Raw genomic sequence first — 16,345 nt, 5'->3', positions numbered from 1 at the left:
GGCAGTGATTCATATGCAGCACTCACTGAGGCGGCTGTGATATTCTGGTGGCCAAGTTATTCATTAAAGTGATTTGTGGGAAGTAATGGATATTCAACTCAAATGGTTGCCAGGGAACATGAGCTTCTAAATGTAGGAGCTGTCATTGATGGGAGGAACTTCAGGAGCATCTTAGGTTTGCCAGGGAAGGCCTCCCAGAGCTTTCTGCTGTGGCCTGGGGCAAAAACTGAGGGCTGTGAACCTCAGTCCCTGAGAACCCCTGGGCCAGGAGGCAGGAGGGTGCTGAGGACGGAGCCTTCTCAGCAAGGAGAGACCACCACATATTGGAATTTGGAGAGTCTGTAGGAGTGCTCACAGCACACAGGCTTGCTGTGCTAGGCTGAGTTCCATTTCTGTCTTTTTGCCCCCAGATAGTTTGGAAATGGCAAACGTTTTGGGAGGCTGGAGTCAGGAGTGTTCTCACTAATGATGTTTACAGGTTCAAGTTAAATACTGTAGGTAAGCAAGGAATTTGAGAAACTGGCTGGTGGGGGTCCCCTTTGTGGCTACTCTTGCCCTTATTTTCCATGCCTTAACTAAACATTTCATGGTGCAGAGAAGACCTGGATGTCCTGAGTGACCAATCCCTTTCACGAGGGTGGCGATCGCTGTGGTCTACTCGCCTTGTTCCCTGGGGTCATGGCGGTGGGGTGGAAGAGAGGAAGTTCTTGTTGCTGTCATCTAAACACGGTTTTCTGATAGGAGAGGAGCAAGCATGCCTCTCTTGATCTCCTGCCTTGACCTCTGCATGTAACAGTTTCCTTTCCTCTCTCACATCAGCCTGGAACCTGGGGGAGCTTTTCTGAGAAGGGATTTGGGTATTTTCTGTAGCATTGACTGAAGCCCCTCACTCTCACCTTTCATTCCGTTTCTCCCACCTTTCCTTACCCAGACCCTGCAGATGTTTCTCACCCTCTTTCCCTGTCTTTGCTGATCTGAGGAGTAGAGAGAGGGGGAAGGCAAACAGAGGGGAAAGGGAGGAGAAAATGCCTTGGGAGACACAGGGAAAAGTCAAAGAGGTGAGGTCACAGAAGGAGCAGCCAGCCCTCTGTTGAGAAAAGTCCAGTCCGGTGCAGCCTCCAGTGATAAAGCAGACTCCTCCCATCTAAAGACTAGACAAGGCTGGGCGTGGTGGCTCACATCTGTAATCCCAGCACTTTGGGAGGCTGACGGGGGTGGATTACCTGAGGCCAGGAGTTTGAGACCAGCCTGGCCAACATGGTGAGACCCCACCTCTACTGAAAATACAAAAATTAGTTGGGCACGGTGGCGTGGGTCTGTAGTCCCAGCTACTTGGGATGCTGAGGCAGGAGAATCCCTTGAATGCAGAGGTTGCAGTGAGTTGAGATCGTGCCATTGCACTCCAGCCTGGAAGACAGAGTGAGACTCTGTCTCAGAAAAAAAAAAAAAGACCAAAGACTCTGTGTGGACCCACCCACCAACAGCCCCCATGGGGCTCCAGATCCTTGCTTTCTCAGAAGCCAGGGATCAGATGTATTAGAACATATGCCAAGTGATGAGGCCTTTGTCCTCCTGCTTTCTTGCTAATTTAGCAAGAGAAGTTCTGTTAGGAACAGGTATCCTTGCGGCTGTATTTCAGGCAAGCCCTCCATCTTAGCAAGGGAAATGTGCAGATGTGCAGAGTTTAACAAGGCACAAAGCTCTGGTCTCAGGGAGCAGAAGCAAAAGGTAGCAGACATAATAAGACAAGACATTTACCTTACCTACAGTCTGGCTCAGGGAGCTCCAACATTGTGTAAAGCCCAAGGGGAGTTTATTTCAAAATCCCAAATGTTGCGACTGGGTTGCCATTTTAAATTGGGGATTGGTCTTGGATTGATTCCATGTGCACCAGAAGGGACCTTACCTTTTCTTCCAGGGTGTGAGGTTGAATAGTTGACAGAAGTGAGGCTGCCTTTTCCTAGAGTTAGTTTCCCTAGAGTTAGAGTTTCCGTAGGCTAAAACCCAGTGATCTATTCCTAATGCTCCTGCCAGTTAGCTCCCTGCACCGCCTTCCCCAGGTGTGTGACTCAAGTTGTCACAATCTGTTTACGAGGCTGGAGAGAACTGGTCTTATTGCCCTAGGTGGTCAGAAGGTGCCTAGCTTCTCCCTCAACACCTCCCATCGGCCCTTTTCCCTTTGCTGTATGCACCCCCATCCCTACCTCCCTGACCCCTCTCCTCAGTGACCTCCTCTCTGTGGAATTGAAGAGAGGACCACTCAGACCCGTGTCCCTGGCCTGACTGCATCTGCATGTGCTCCCACACTCCCAGTGCCTCCCTGGACATCTCTACTTGGTCTCCCAGCCCCACAGCCTCAAGCTGCCTCCCTGCACTCGTCCGGCTCCCCCTGGCATCTTGAGCTCCTTGCTTCCCTGATGTCACCCTCCCTTCTCTTGGACTCAGATATGCACTCGTCATCCCCCACATCTCCTAATCATCGGCCATTGCCTCCCCTCAGTGTCTCTCCCTCTGCTGTCCCCTGGCCACTGCCACCGCCTGACTGGAGGGTTTTGTTTTGTTTTGTTTTGTTTTTGCCTTGTCCCAAGATCTTGCGTGGCCTCCGTGCCTCTAGCCTGTTACAGATTCCTCTTTCTAAAGTGTTTGACATGCATTATCTCTGCTCAGAAGTCTTCGGTGATGGCCAGATAGAGATAAAATTCCGTAGCTTCTCTCAGGTACCAACCCTTTTTCTGACTTGGTTTTCTCTTCTCACCTACCTGGAACTCTCTCAGACTAACTCAATCTTTTTCAGACCTCTAATCACCCTTACATTTTTCCTCTCCTCATCTTGTCTCCTAGGACTAGGGATGACCCCTTTTTTCCTACCCACTTTCTGAAATTCTCCTCATCTTCAAAACCTCAGCTCCAGCCTCACTTTTCCAGGGATCTCTCCTCATCTTCCTGTGTTCTGAGCCCCTCTGACACCACTACTTGTACCTCTCCTTGGCATCTGCCATATCACCCTGAGAGTAGCTGTCACTGTTTTGTGCATGTGCCTCATCTTAGTAATAGTATGCCCCTGGGGGGCTGGGGGAGGCAGCCCTGCTCGGCCCTTGGTCTCCCATGAATGTGCTTGGTCTAGAATAATAATCAATAAATACTTGCTTACCATATAATTTCAAATGTTCCTTCTGGGCAAAATTAGCAATAATACACCCACCCATACTCACACACAGCCCCTGATAAAATCTCTCCAAGCTGGCAGGCCAGGGGAATTGTAAACTGTGTGCATCATTGCCAGAGGAAAGCACCATTTCAGTCATCACAGGGAGACCCAGCATCCATTTCCTGATAAGTCTTGAACAGTGTGTGTTTTGAACTGCGATCTTCAGGAGTGTATCTCCATGTAAGCCATGCCTGGCCTGGAATCACAGGTGTGATGGTAGAGAGAGGCTCACAGGTCCCTGGGGGAGCCTGTAAGCCGAGGAGTAACCTAGAGAAGGGATCAGGAAAGGCATCCTGGCGAGGCGGTGTTCCAACAGAGCTGCCAATGGAGTCAGAGCTAGGCAGGCAAGAAGGCCAGAGAGGGGGCAAGAGAGTGCTCTAGGCAGAGAGTTAGAATACGCAAGGAGTCAGGATCCAGATATGGAGGTATGGCAAAACGTCAGTGTGACAGCTGCCACCACCTTCCTGAGCCGGCCATGCCAGGGGAAGAGGCCTCTTCCAGGGATGTGTGCTGGGAGGCACAGGTTTAGAATGAGTCTGGAAAAGCAAATCAACATGGAGCTTTGTCCTTTATAGGATCTGGAAGAATCGGTGAATTCACTGGTCGGTGGAGAAATGTCTGTAGACCCACTCTGGTGGTTGCAAGAATTTGCCATCAGCAGAGAAGGCAGGGCGCCATTCTGCACGACAGCTTCGAGAGGAAGGAGAGGAAAAGGTTTGACTTACGGGGAAAAGGAAGGCCCCTTCAGTTTGTGTGGGCTTCCTGTAGCTACGTGGCTCACACAGAGGACAGGTCTGTGCATTTGAGGAAGATGCTCATGGGACATGAACAGTCAGAACCCTCCAGGTGTGGACAAAAGGCCAGTGTGGACAGGAGCGCCTGGGAATGAGAAAAGAGGATGCCCAGGCAGGGGAGTGGAGCCCAAAGGCAAGACAGGTCAAGGGGTGGGAGCAGGGGGAGGCAGGACATGGGCGGCAGACACAGGAGGCCTGGCTGTCCCCACATCTGTCTCCAGCAAACACTAACTGAGTAACAGACGAATTAAGGAAATAGTGAGCAAATTTGGAGGGACTTGAAGAATTTAAAAATAAAGTGACTGCTTCCTAAGTCACCTGAGAGCCAGAAAAGGATAAGCAGACTCTCCCCAGAGCTGGAGGAGGAAATGTGTGGTGGGCCTAGGAAAGATGAAATGGGAAGCCTGCGCTGGAAGGGACAGGATTCTGCCATGGAACCAAGGGGATCCCATGGCATGTCTCCTGCTGCAGCTGTGCACCTCCTGGAGCCTGCCTGTATAGAGCAGGAGGCGGCTCTTGCTGAAGGCAGGTTTTCTGATGAGCGATCCCTGGCATAAGACAGCCAGCACCTCCCCGGCACCGTGAGCAAGGCTGTGAGCTAGGGCTTTACAATGTCTCCAAACACTCCTAGACAGTCACTACTGTTATCACCACCTCACATGTGAGAATACTGAAGCTTAACATAAATAGTGTAACTTGCCCGTCATTTTACAGTCTGTAATACTGGGCAAAGTCAAGAATCAAATTCAGGTCTCTCAACAAAGCTCATGCCCTTACCCTTGCCTTCAGGCCAAACCTCTGGCCCGGGTATTCATTTCTTAGAGCTGCCATTTAAAAAATACCACAAACTTGGTGGCTTAAAACAACAGAGATGTATTCTCTCACAGTTCTGGAGACTCAAAGTGCAAGGCAAGGTGTTGGCAGAGTTGGTTCCTTCTGAGGGGGAACCCATTCCAGGACTCTCTCCTTGCTTCTAGCAGTTGTTGGAAACTTGTGGTGTTCCTTGGCTTGCAGACACCCTACTCCAGCTTCTGCCTCGATTGTCAAATGGTATTCTTCCCTGTGTGTCTTTGTATCCAAATTTCCTCTTTTTGTAAGAATGCCAGGCAATGGATTAGAGCCCACTTGATTTCAGCATGGTCTCATGTTAACTTGATTACATCTGTGAAAACCCTATTATTTCCAAATAATGTCACGGTCATGAGCACCGGGGGTTAAACCCACCACATATCTTTATGAGAGGCATGATTTGACCTGTGATACCTAGCAAGGAGACTGGGGGCAGAGAATGTCCTCAGCATTTTGCTTTGAGTTGCAGAGGCAGAGGGAGTAGGGTGGCACCAGCCGTGGGGATCATAGCAAAGAGTGCTGGGGGCTGCTTTTGGGGCTGGAGGTGAGAGGCACTCTGGGGAGGGAAGTGGAGATCCCCAGGGTGTGTTGAGGATGGACATATCCAGGAGATGCGGCCCTTCAGGTCTGTGTCTTTGGTACTTTGTTCTTGATCATTGGTAAGCCAAGACAGTCGGTTATGTGACCCTCTTATGATCCACAGGAGGTCAAGTGGAATCTGGAATTGTGCTCAGAGCTTAGCACTTAGGGAGGACTTTCTCTGGAAGTATCCCATAGGACAGAGAGATTTGAATGTTGGACAAAGCCTTCTCCTACTGCCATCCTTCTACCTGCCACCAGAAAAACTGGGACGAGTGACCACAGAAGTGTGCTTTTTTCCCATGTGGAGGGAACCTACTGTGTTGCACACTGGGTTTTTATTTTGTTTATTTGACCACTTTATCCTGGCTGCCAAAGACTTGCTGTATATGGGACGCAGTTTTCAGGGGGCTGCTCATCACTTTTGGAATGATGAGGTCTTGGAAGACAGCCTGTGGTCATGAATCCCAGATCTCTCGGCAGGCAGGGGAATGCCAGGGTGACCAGACTGGGGTGTGGAAATGTTCCCATGCCAGAAGGTGTGTCTGTCAGCAGCAGGCTGTTGCAGGGGAGCCGCCGCCTCTGCCAGTGTCGTGAGGTTCAGCGGGAGGCTAAGCTAGCCTGTCTGTAGCATGTGTGACTCCGGAATGCCGTAGCCTCAGGAGCAACTCCACTGTCAGAGCAGAGCACTGGGGAGAGCCGACAGGCGTCCATGCACGTCCGTCCTACCTTCTGCTCTCATGGGGTGGGCAGCCTGCCCGCCCTGCTTCTAAGCATCTGTTGTTTTGGGTCTGATTACAGACTCTTGAAGCTTTGTTCTTAGACCCCCACTGTGGCTTTGAAAAGGCCGAGTGTGTTGTGGTTTGTTGGGAGGTCTTCTCAGAGTGGCTGCTGCCAAAGGTGGTGGGTGGGCCTAGGCCACCCCCAGGCAGAGGTTCCCCCAGATGAGGGCTCCTTCCCCATCCTGCCAGGGCACTAACTTCTTCTTGATGAAACCTCCTCGGGCTGTTCACCACCAGCCCCAAGGACGCCCTCTCCTCCTCACTGCAAAGAGGAGTGAGTCTCCAGTCTCTTGCCTGCTACAGAAAAACCTTGAAAAGGCCAAGAGTCAAAACTGGCTCCAATTCTCCAAATGGAGATGGTTGTATTGGGAGCTCTGGTATGGAGCTGGCCCTAAAATGTCGACAAGGGCTTGCTGAATAACTTACTATTCCTGCAGAAATTTGGGGGGAGATAAATGGATACAATAGAAGGAAAATACCTGTTTCTACAATGAATTTATAACCCAATTTGTTAATTTTATATTCACTCACTTATGGCGTATGAGTGCCTAGGTAACCAGTGGGGTCATTCGCTGACATTTATTCTTTTCTTCTGAAATCATTCGTCATTGTTTGTGGAGAAGATTACTCCCTGCTTCTTTGGTCATTTCCCTCCTCTGCCTTGCTGGCACCACAGGTGTGTCCTGGGTGACAGAATTGATGTGGGGCCCTAAACACTCATGGTGGTTGTAATTGCAATCTGGGCTCAGTGCCCTGAAGGAACAATAGAGACCAGGTAACAGGAGGGACATTCTTTACTACCAGGAAGATGGATAAGTAGAAGCTCACCCCAGGCAGTGGGGATGGCCCCCACCCACAAAGACTCTGAGACAAAACATCACCTGAGGAGGGCCATGCATTTTCCACTCAGCTACAGATTTCTACTGCTTATTTTCAAGCAATGATGTAAGTAGCTTGGTACGGAGAGGCAGCCACGGTGGTGGGGAGCTCAGTGACAGGGGGAGGAGTAGGGGTGCTTTGCCTGAATTTTGATCTGAGGTGGGGGGAATCCATTGGAGGGTTTTTACAGGGCTGTGACAGGCTCTGATCTCCATTTTTGAAGATCATGCTGACACACTATATGATTCTATTTATATAAAGTACAAAACAGGCAAACTCATCTTTGCTGTTAGAAGTCAAAAGACTGGCTCCCCTGGAGGTGTGTGGTGACTGAGAGGGGCTCTAGGGGTTTCTGGGAAGCTGATGATGATCTCTTTCTTCATCTGGGTACCAGTCCCTCGGGTGCACCTAGCTTGTGAAATGTTTCAAGCTGTACTCTTATGATTTATGCATTTTTAAAAGATGAGTGTTATATATCAGTAAAGTTCTTGAAAGATTACTCTGGCAGTTGGTTAAAGAATAGATCAGAAGAAAAGAGTAGGAAACGGGTAGGAAGTCATGATAGTTGGCCAGATGAGAGCTGACTGGGACCTGGACTGGAGGTGGCCAAGCAGGTGGAGCGTGCAGAGTGGACTTGGAGCTTGGTTTGGAGTTGGAAGAAGCGGGGCAAGAACTGGAATGGGGAGGAGACAGTGTGAGGTCCCAACAATGGTTGGGGGCATGGATTTGAGGAACTGAGGGGAAGTCAGAGTTGAAATGTGTAAGATGCAGTTTGATACGAGGCCTGGCAGACTTCAGTGTGAAGCCCAGCTTCCCCCCAAGGGTGCATGAGCAGGGCACCCATGGGAGACATGGCGGAAGATGGGCACAGGACTAATGACAGAACCCAGACACCATCAACATCATGTGGGGAGAAGGAAGAGGGCTGCCACAAGGATTTCAAAGAAGGAACAGTCAGAGAGAGAGAGCTAGAACACAGGGACAGCAAGTGACATCACAAATGGCAAGGGGAACCCTGCAGAAGGTAGGTAAAGCCATTGTTGGAGGGCCCACTGGACATGGCACTGAGGTAACTGGCAGTCTTGGTAAAAACAATTCGGTAGCACATTCCCGCTCACCCCAGGCAGCATGGTGGAGCAAGGTGATGGATTTGGCATCAGTAGCCTGCTACTATTTGCCAACTCTGCCCTGAGCCTCAGTGCCTCAACTGTAAACAAAAGGGATCACATGTACCTCTCAGGGCTGATATGAGGATTAACTTTATTCAGCGAATATTTATTAAACATTTATTATATCTCAGATAGTCCGCCAGACACAGAAAATACAGAGTGACCAAGAGTGACAAGTGGGGAGACAGAAATAAGTAAATCAATGAGTTGATGGGAAGAAAATAAATGCCCCCCATGCTTCCCTGCAGCCACCACCCAGCCTTCTTGGACTGCAGGGTCCCTCCTTTCCTGACTGGATTCCTTGGGGTCAGCTCCTAAGATCCTAGCTCTTCTGATACCATGTCCCCAAGCCCCACTTTCTCACTCTGAAAAACTAGCTTCTCTTTCCTTGAAGGCAGGAAGAGAAGGGCTTAATCTTCAAACTCTTCCAGGATGCAAGAAAAAATATTGACATCCCATCCTATTATTAGAACAAAGAGTAGGAAGAATATAAAATAGTGAAGTTTCCATATTGATGTTTGAATAATATCTAATAGGTCTGAATGTCCTATACCTGCCATAAATGGATGCAAAGCAGGTTCTTTTCAACCTAACAAATTACTGCCAAGTTCCCAGAAAGACAAGATGGCACTTGATGAAAATGTTTCTGGCTTAAAAAAAAAATTAATTGGAGAATTTCTAAAGAAGAAATTGGACACATATTTACATAAATATCCGTGATAATTATGTTTTCAAGTGTTTTTTTTTCTGGGAAACCAGGCTTCCAGCTGACCTGGAAAATTCATCTTGTCTCACATGTTTATGTTTCATCTCTTCCAGAATTTTTTTTCAATCTGTGGTATCTAAAGCCCAGACCCTTGGCCCCCTGCCATGGGGCAATCTTTCACTTGTGAGCTTCCCTTTCACCTTCTTTCACAGACCTCACCACTCCAGCTATCCACATGCTCCATTCCTACTCCTGAGCTTTGAACAGGGCACCATTAGAAAAGAAACACAACACAAAACAACGGAAGCAGGATATTTCCCTTACCCCTTCACGGGCGGGAACTGGAGTGCACGGGAACTGGACCTAGCTGGTCGCTTCGGCACTGGCAAGGATGAATTCCACTCACTCAAGTCCACTGTGTTCTACTCCCTGGGGAGGGGGAGCACAGGTCAGCGGGTGCAAGAGCTCTGGGGCTAGTACTTTTGGACTCCAGCAGGAGCAAAACTCCTTGTGGGCCCCACGGCAGCATCTGGAGGTGGGGTGCCCATGACCCCTGAAGCCCCAGAAGGAATGTTACAGTGCCCTTTTAGCCCATCTGTGGACGGCTTAAGTGTTAACAGCTCAGTGCAGGGTCAGTGTGACAGCACTCATGACAGCACCCACACTCATGACAGCACCCACACTCATGACATCTGAACTCTTGTCTGGCGTCCAAGAGTAATAAGGTTGCACGAACGGATTGAAGATGGCAAATGCAGGGGATTTAACAGCCAATGAAAGTGGCTCAGCTGGAAGGGGAGCTGAAAAGGGAACAGGAAGGTAATATTCCCTGGAGTCCAGCTGTCCCTGGACAGACACCTCTCTGAAGCTACACTGTCAAACTGTTCCTCTGAAGTCAAGATGCTTCTCTCCAACATCCAACTGTAGTCTCTGATGTCCAGCTGTTTCTCCTCCCTCTGCTGGCAGAGCCTGGGGTTTTTATGGGCTCAGGATGGGGGTGCAGGGCGGGCCATGGGTGGTTATGGAAAAGGCAACATTCAAGCCGGAAAACAGGAATGTAAGTTCTCACTTTGGGCCACAGTTCCAGGCTTGAGGGTGGGGCCCTCGCCAGGGACCTGCCCTCTTCTGCCTGCCTGGAATTTTTCTGCCTCCTGTCCCTATCACAGCCACAATACAAAGCTTTTTAGGATGACTGGTGTTATTAGGAGCTAAGAATTTTTTCTACCTCCCTTTCTTGTGCTCTATCTTCCTTCAAACAATGCCTCTGCAGTAGAAATCTGTTTCTTTTTCAGATTGTCCTGACCTTTGTCCTTTCAAGGGCCCCCAGGAGCCTGTCTTATCAAAGGCTTTTTTAAGCTTATAATAACACAAGGTGCAAAAATACAAAATAACAACAAACACTACAGAATTATGCAGTTTGGGATTTCCAGTGTCCATTTAAATTGTATCTTATATGATGACCTTCAAGTGATTTTTGCTGAAGTTGAGCGTACTAAACTAAAAAAGTGGTCAAGAGATCCTGGGCAAGTCCGATTCGGTCAGGACTTTGCTCAGAGAGTTCCCCTAACCAGGGTTCCCCAGGCAGTGTTAAAGGTGGAAAGAGAATCCACCTTGCAGTTTGCTTCTCTGTGCCTGTTGTGGTTTCCTGTGGCCTCCACTGAGGACAGATGTGCCAGTCCTCCCAGAAGCTGTTCTCATAGGCCTCAGAGGGTGCCTTTGCTCAGTCATATTGGGGAACTCTGCCAAACAGTAAGGTCAACTTTGTGGGCAGTAAAGGCTGGCAAAGGGAATCTGGAGAGAAGAAAGCGGAAGAGTTACACTGAGCAGTGAGAGATCTGTTGGAGGCCTGGCTCCTCCGGCCCCCTGCAGCCTCCCCTCCCAGGCAGGGTCTCAGGCCCAGCTCCACAGCCTAGCCACTCCCCTCTTAAGGAACAAGGAAGCTGTGATGGAAATCTATGTGTTTCTTCCTAGATTGTTCTGATTTTTATATCTCCAGTGACCCACAGGACCATGTCTTATCAAAGGCTTTTTCTAATTCATAATAAAATGAATAATACTAAAGATACCTTTTGTCATTGCTATGAGGAATATCACCAACTTTGACCCCAGGCTGGCTATTTTAAATCTCTGAACTTTATCTTGTGCAGGCATTCTTCCTGCGTGGGAAAATATTGGATTTCCTGAATCACTTCTTGAAAGAGTCATTCCCCTTTGGGGCATTGGGCCATGGTTTAGATTCACAGCCACACCCTGCAGAAGGGACAGGAGGGGTGAGCAGGCCAACGGCTGATGGAGGGCTTTTATTCTAGAATGCACTGGACTCTTGCTTTGCTTCCTTCATTTTAGGGGTTGGGGACAGGGAGAAGGATGCTACTCCCTGCTTCAGCTCCGAGGATCTTTCAGATGCACCTCAGAGGAGCCAACCTAGAAGCCTGCCCACCTTCAGATGCCTGCAGTTTTGTTTTTTGCTTGTTTTTTTTTGTTTTGTTTTTTTGAGATGGAGTCTTGCTCTGTCACCCAGGCTGGAGTGCTGTGGTGCGATCTTGGCTCACTGCAGTCTCTGCCTCCCAGGTTTAAGCGATTCTCCTGCCTCAGCTTCCTGAGTAGCTGGTATTACAGGCCTTTGCCCCCACACCTGGCTAATTTTTGTATTTTTAGTAGAGATGGGGTTTTACCATGTTGGCGAGGCTGGTCTTGAACTCCCGACCTCAGGTGATCTGCCCGCTTCAGCCTCTCAAAGTGCTGGGATTACAGCAGTGAGCCACTATGCTTGGCCAGATGCCTGCATGTCTGATGACACTGGGAAGCAGCCAGGAGTCACCCTTCTGAGTTCACTTCTTTATCCTTATTGGCCTCTTAAGCCCCAAGCCTCACCTCCCAGGTGAGGAGAACTGCCAGCCAGGACCAAGAATGAGTTGTGTGAAGGCAGACAGTGCGATGGAGAAGTGGAGATGGGCATACACCCAGAGCCAGCACCACTCTCAGGCCACCTGCCATCTGTTGGAGACACACCAGGCATTTTGGAAGACTTAGTCAAGTAAAGGTGGTATCGGGACTCATGAGTGTAGTGGGAGGAGAGGAAGGGTTCGGTATATTTTTTGGTTTGACAGCCTAGTCCACTGACAAGTACATATTTCTTGAAGCCTTTCTTTTTCCCATTGAAAAACGGGACAGAATGATTTGTCTGCTAGGTTTAGCACCAGGAAATAGATTGGTTTATGATTCAAGATTGCTGACTGAACACATTTGTCTCCCCTCCTCTCTGACACTTTCATTATAATGAAACTAATGAAGAAAAAGGAGAAAAATCAATGACAAAAAACTGAAGAAGGAGGGAGACTATGAGTGGATGAAAGATTTCAATAATTTCAGCAGGGTGGACAGTGGTTGGGAAGTGTTGATGGATAAAATAGAATGGAGGAAGACAGATGGTCAACTGCGTGCACGGGGCCTGCAGTAGCGGGGAGCCCGCGGGCTTGGCACAGCCCGGAGAGGCAACAGATTTAGAATTGGCGAACGTGGCAGAAGGAGAAGTGAGATTAAGGGATTAAGATAGAACAGCCCTTTACCCCACGGAAAACACAAGAAACCTTCTCTCCTAGAATTAACGGGAACTATCACACAGTGTGAAGGTTTGTGCCCAGGAGGGAAGCCCTGCTCCTCTGGCTCCCAGTTTGCTTCCCACAAAGTGATCTGATAATAAAAATACTGATAGAACTATTAAAAGTTGGGAGGAGTAGGGAGAAGGGGGCTTTGCAATTATAACTGTGCTAAATCCTCTTCTGTAGTAACAGGCACCATAAAATGGTAAGTCAAGAAACTGCAGAACAAGTGTATTATTTTGAGATGTGTGGATGTCATCAACAGAAAAACTAAAAACTAAAAGCAGAGGGGGTTATTCCCAACCTGCGGTACTGGTGGTGGGCTGACTTGAGTGTAGAGTTGGGCTTTGTCATTCTAAGCCCTTCCACACTACTTGATATTTTAAACACATGCACATGTTACACTGATTCAAAAAAATAAAATAAAATGTGGAAAGAATTGCAAATTGATTTTAATTCCATAGGTGGGTTCCAGTTAACTGTGGAATGGGAGGACTGGATGCCTGTCCAGTGTTGCTCAAATCCAGGGGGGTTGTCAGTGTGGTTGTGCAGTTATGCTTCTTCCCAAGAGAGGGAAGTCTCAGAGGGGTGTTACCACTGGAGGGTCTTGACTATGAGTTGTCCAGGTCCTTGGCATTTTGAACAAAGAACTGAACAAAATGCAGAAACAAAGTACCAAAGGAATGAAACACAGGAATGAAGCAGTGAAAACAGGAATTTATTAAAGCAAGAAAGAACTCCGCAGGGTGGGAGTGGGCCCTAGCAAGCAGCTCAAAGGCCCAGTTATAAAGTTTTCTGGGCTGTAAGTAACCATTTGAGGTTCTTCCCTTTATCTGGATGAAGGATTTGGCTTGTGGCTAATTAAAGGCTGAGGTGAATTGGCGCCATATGCAGATAAAGGGAAGGTCCCTGCAGGGCCCGCCGGCCAATCTAAGGCACTCTCCTTTTCCATCTGAGACGTGGTGGAAGGGGGAGGGTTGCAAGGAGAGTAGCCTTTGATCCTTTGTTACTCAGAGTGGGAAGATGGGGTTTTCCCTTTTGCTTTAGCTTTAGGAAGTTTGTGTTAATTGGCATTAGATTCCCTGCCCCCAGACCTTGATGTTTTCTCTTTTAGGAAGTTAGCACAAACCGGCCTTAAGTTCCTTGTCTCCAGACTCTGTTCTCCTGTCTCACGTGTTCCCACCTGTCTGGTATGCAGTCAGCTCGGCCTAGAGAGCAGAAGAGCAGAATGTCCCCTGAGGCCAAATTGACTTTCAGAGGTTGGGAGGGACTAAAGCCAGCAGCACATGGCTGTCCCCTCCCTCTTTCAGAGAACAGCAGCATGGTCCTCAGTACCCCGAACTCTCCCTCCCTGCATCCTGTTGTCGACAAAAAGAGTCAAACTCTGGCTCCGAATACATCTCTTCAAATATTTTACAAATGTGAGTGACCATGGCCTGTGACACAGCCCTCAGTAAGTCCTGAGAACATGTGCCATGGTGGTCGGGGTGCAGCTGGTTTTATACATTTTAGGGAGACATGAGACTTCGATCAAATACATTCAAGAAATACATTGGTTTGGTCCAGAAAGGCGGCACAACTTGCAGTGGGGGCTTCCAGCCTATAGTTTAGGTTCAAAAATTTTCTGATTGACAGTTGGTTGGGTTTATCTAAAGACCTGGGATCAATAGAAAGGAAAGTCTGGGTAAAGTTAAAATAAAGGATTATGGAGACCCAAGTTCTTATTTGCAGAGGAAGCCTTCAAGTAGTAGGCTTCAGAGGGAATAGGTTGTAAAATGTTTCTTATCAGGCTTACAGACTGTGTCAATGTTAATGCTGGAGAGGTATAATGAGGCATGTCACCTTATTATACTCCCACTTCCTGTCATGGCCTGAAACAGTCTCTCAGGTTAAATTTTAAGAGTGCCCTGACCAGGAGGAAGTCCATTCAGATGCTTGGGGCAGTGAGGGGGAATACTTAGAATTTTCTTTTTGGTTTACACTCAGTGAGGGTGAGAATAAGGTTTTTCTGTGCTGTTCTTTTCTTCTCCCTTTTCCTCCCTCCTTTCTTCCTTCCTTTAGAAGAACTGTTTCATTCAGATTGCCCTGTCAGAGTCCTGTTTGGGAAAGCAGATAGCTGCCATTTAGGGATAGAATCAGTTATTTCAAACTGAGAGGTCACCGGCTGTGTGTCTCAGTCCAGCCACATCTCCTGCCCTGAATGGTTTTCCTCCAACTCCTGGACTCTTCCAGTACATTGAATCACCTCAGAGAAGTTGCATCCTAGTGGATATCGATGAAAAGAGTCAAACTCTAAGATATTTGAAGAGATTTATTCTGAGCCAAATATGAGTGACCATGGCCCGTGACAGGGCCTGAGAACATGTTCCCAAGGTGGTCAGGGCGCAGCTTGGTTTTGTACATTTTAGGGAGACAGGAGACTTCAATCAAATACATTTAAGAAATACATTGGTTTGGTCCAGAAAGGCGAGACAACTTGAAGTGGGGTGGGGGGAGGACTTCCAGTTTATAGGTAGATTTAAAATTTTCTGATTGACATTGGTTGAGTTTATCTAAAGACCTGGGAACAATAGAAAGGAAATGTCTGGGTTGCGATAAGAGGTTGTGGAGACCAGGGTTTTATCAGACAGATGAAGCCTCCAGGTAGCCGGCTGGCTTCAGAGAGAATCGATTCTACATGTTTCTTATCAGACTTCAGGTCTGTGTTGATGTTAATGCCAGAGAGGTATAATGAGGTCTGTCTGACCCCCACTTCCTGTCGAGACCTGAACCAGTCTTTCAGGTTAAATTTTAAGAGTACTCTGGCTGAGGAGGAAGTCCATTCACAATGGGGATGGGTGGGGGTGGCGGGGCGGGGGCGGGGGGGGGGGCTTTGAATTTTATTTTTGGTTTACATGGACATAAGACATCAGTTGAAATTTTCTAGTCTTCCTTCCCTGGGGTTTGTGTGGAAAACATCAGAGTGGGTTGACAGCACAGTCAGTCATTAAATAGGTAATAACCCTATGGGGATCACATTTCAGACCTTCCGCTGGTGTTCCTATAACCACGGTTAGATGCCACTGTGACCTAACAATGGTTAGATCGTAGTTCCGATGTTTAGTTTGGAAAAGAGAGGCATGAACATGTAGATCAAAAAAAGCCATGTCTAGACTGTTCTTTGATGCTTTCTCCTTCATCCTGAGCTGTGGGAGCCTCCCTCCTTGTCCTGTGGCTTATCCACCATGGTCATCTCACTTATGTCACTGAAGCGTGGCTTGGGCCAAGTCCCCCACACCCCCAAATTTACCTTGCATCTCAGTAGCTTTTTAGCCTTTCTTAGCTCTTTGACACGGGTGGTAAAAAGTTCTCTCTTTATTAAAGAACTTCGTGGCCACTCCAGTTTCCCCGCTTCCTTCCTCTTTATATGTTTGTTAGGATTGGAGAATGAATGAGGCCGTCATGAGCATGGCCTTGACAGTTAGAAGCCTGAGTGCCTCCTGCCCTCCCTGCCCTGCAAGAATGTTGCTCGTCCTCTGTGGGGTTTCTCTGCCAGCTTCCTTCTATAAGATGTGTCTCAAGTGATGTGTTTACCTTAACACACACGCACAGCCCTTGTCAACCTAGATGTTTAGATTAGCACACACACACAAACCTAGATATTTGCCTGGGTTTTGAACCTGTCAAAATAGGACTCTTGAATAAACAAAGTTATTCCAATGACATTGCCAACGCTCATGATTGAAAAAACAAAAAACAAAAAACAAAAAACTGTTTGTCAAATTCCCTTCAAAGCCC

General features: G+C 48.1%; 1 protein-coding gene across 1 annotated transcript in view, besides 3 other annotated features; it reads left to right on the top strand.

The window, feature by feature from the left end:
- SLCO2A1 (solute carrier organic anion transporter family member 2A1) overlaps positions 1-16,345 on the top strand; it is a 97,225-nt gene that overhangs the window by 27,356 nt on the left and 53,524 nt on the right. The gene's annotated exons all lie outside the window — the stretch shown is intronic.
- Positions 13,286-13,927: an enhancer, noted in NCBI's record as "NANOG-H3K27ac hESC enhancer chr3:133707487-133708128 (GRCh37/hg19 assembly coordinates)". NCBI's record gives its function as "activates a minimal SCP1, AML or CMV promoter by ChIP-STARR-seq in primed H9 embryonic stem cells {active_cell/tissue: H9 hESC(primed)}" and the evidence as "EXISTENCE:reporter gene assay evidence [ECO:0000049][PMID:30033119]".
- Positions 13,286-13,945: a biological region, named in NCBI's record as "Sharpr-MPRA regulatory region 8475".
- Positions 13,651-13,945: an enhancer, noted in NCBI's record as "tiled region #8475; K562 Activating non-DNase unmatched - State 21:Repr". NCBI's record gives its function as "activates a minimal TATA promoter and a strong SV40 promoter by Sharpr-MPRA in K562 cells {active_cell/tissue: K562}" and the evidence as "EXISTENCE:reporter gene assay evidence [ECO:0000049][PMID:27701403]".

The sequence above is a fragment of the Homo sapiens genome, chromosome 3 (genome assembly GCF_000001405.40).
Source record: "Homo sapiens chromosome 3, GRCh38.p14 Primary Assembly".
NCBI classification, from domain to species: Eukaryota; Metazoa; Chordata; class Mammalia; order Primates; family Hominidae; genus Homo; species Homo sapiens.
The sequence above is the reverse complement of the archived record's forward strand: the minus strand, read 5'-3'. Positions and strand labels throughout refer to the sequence as shown.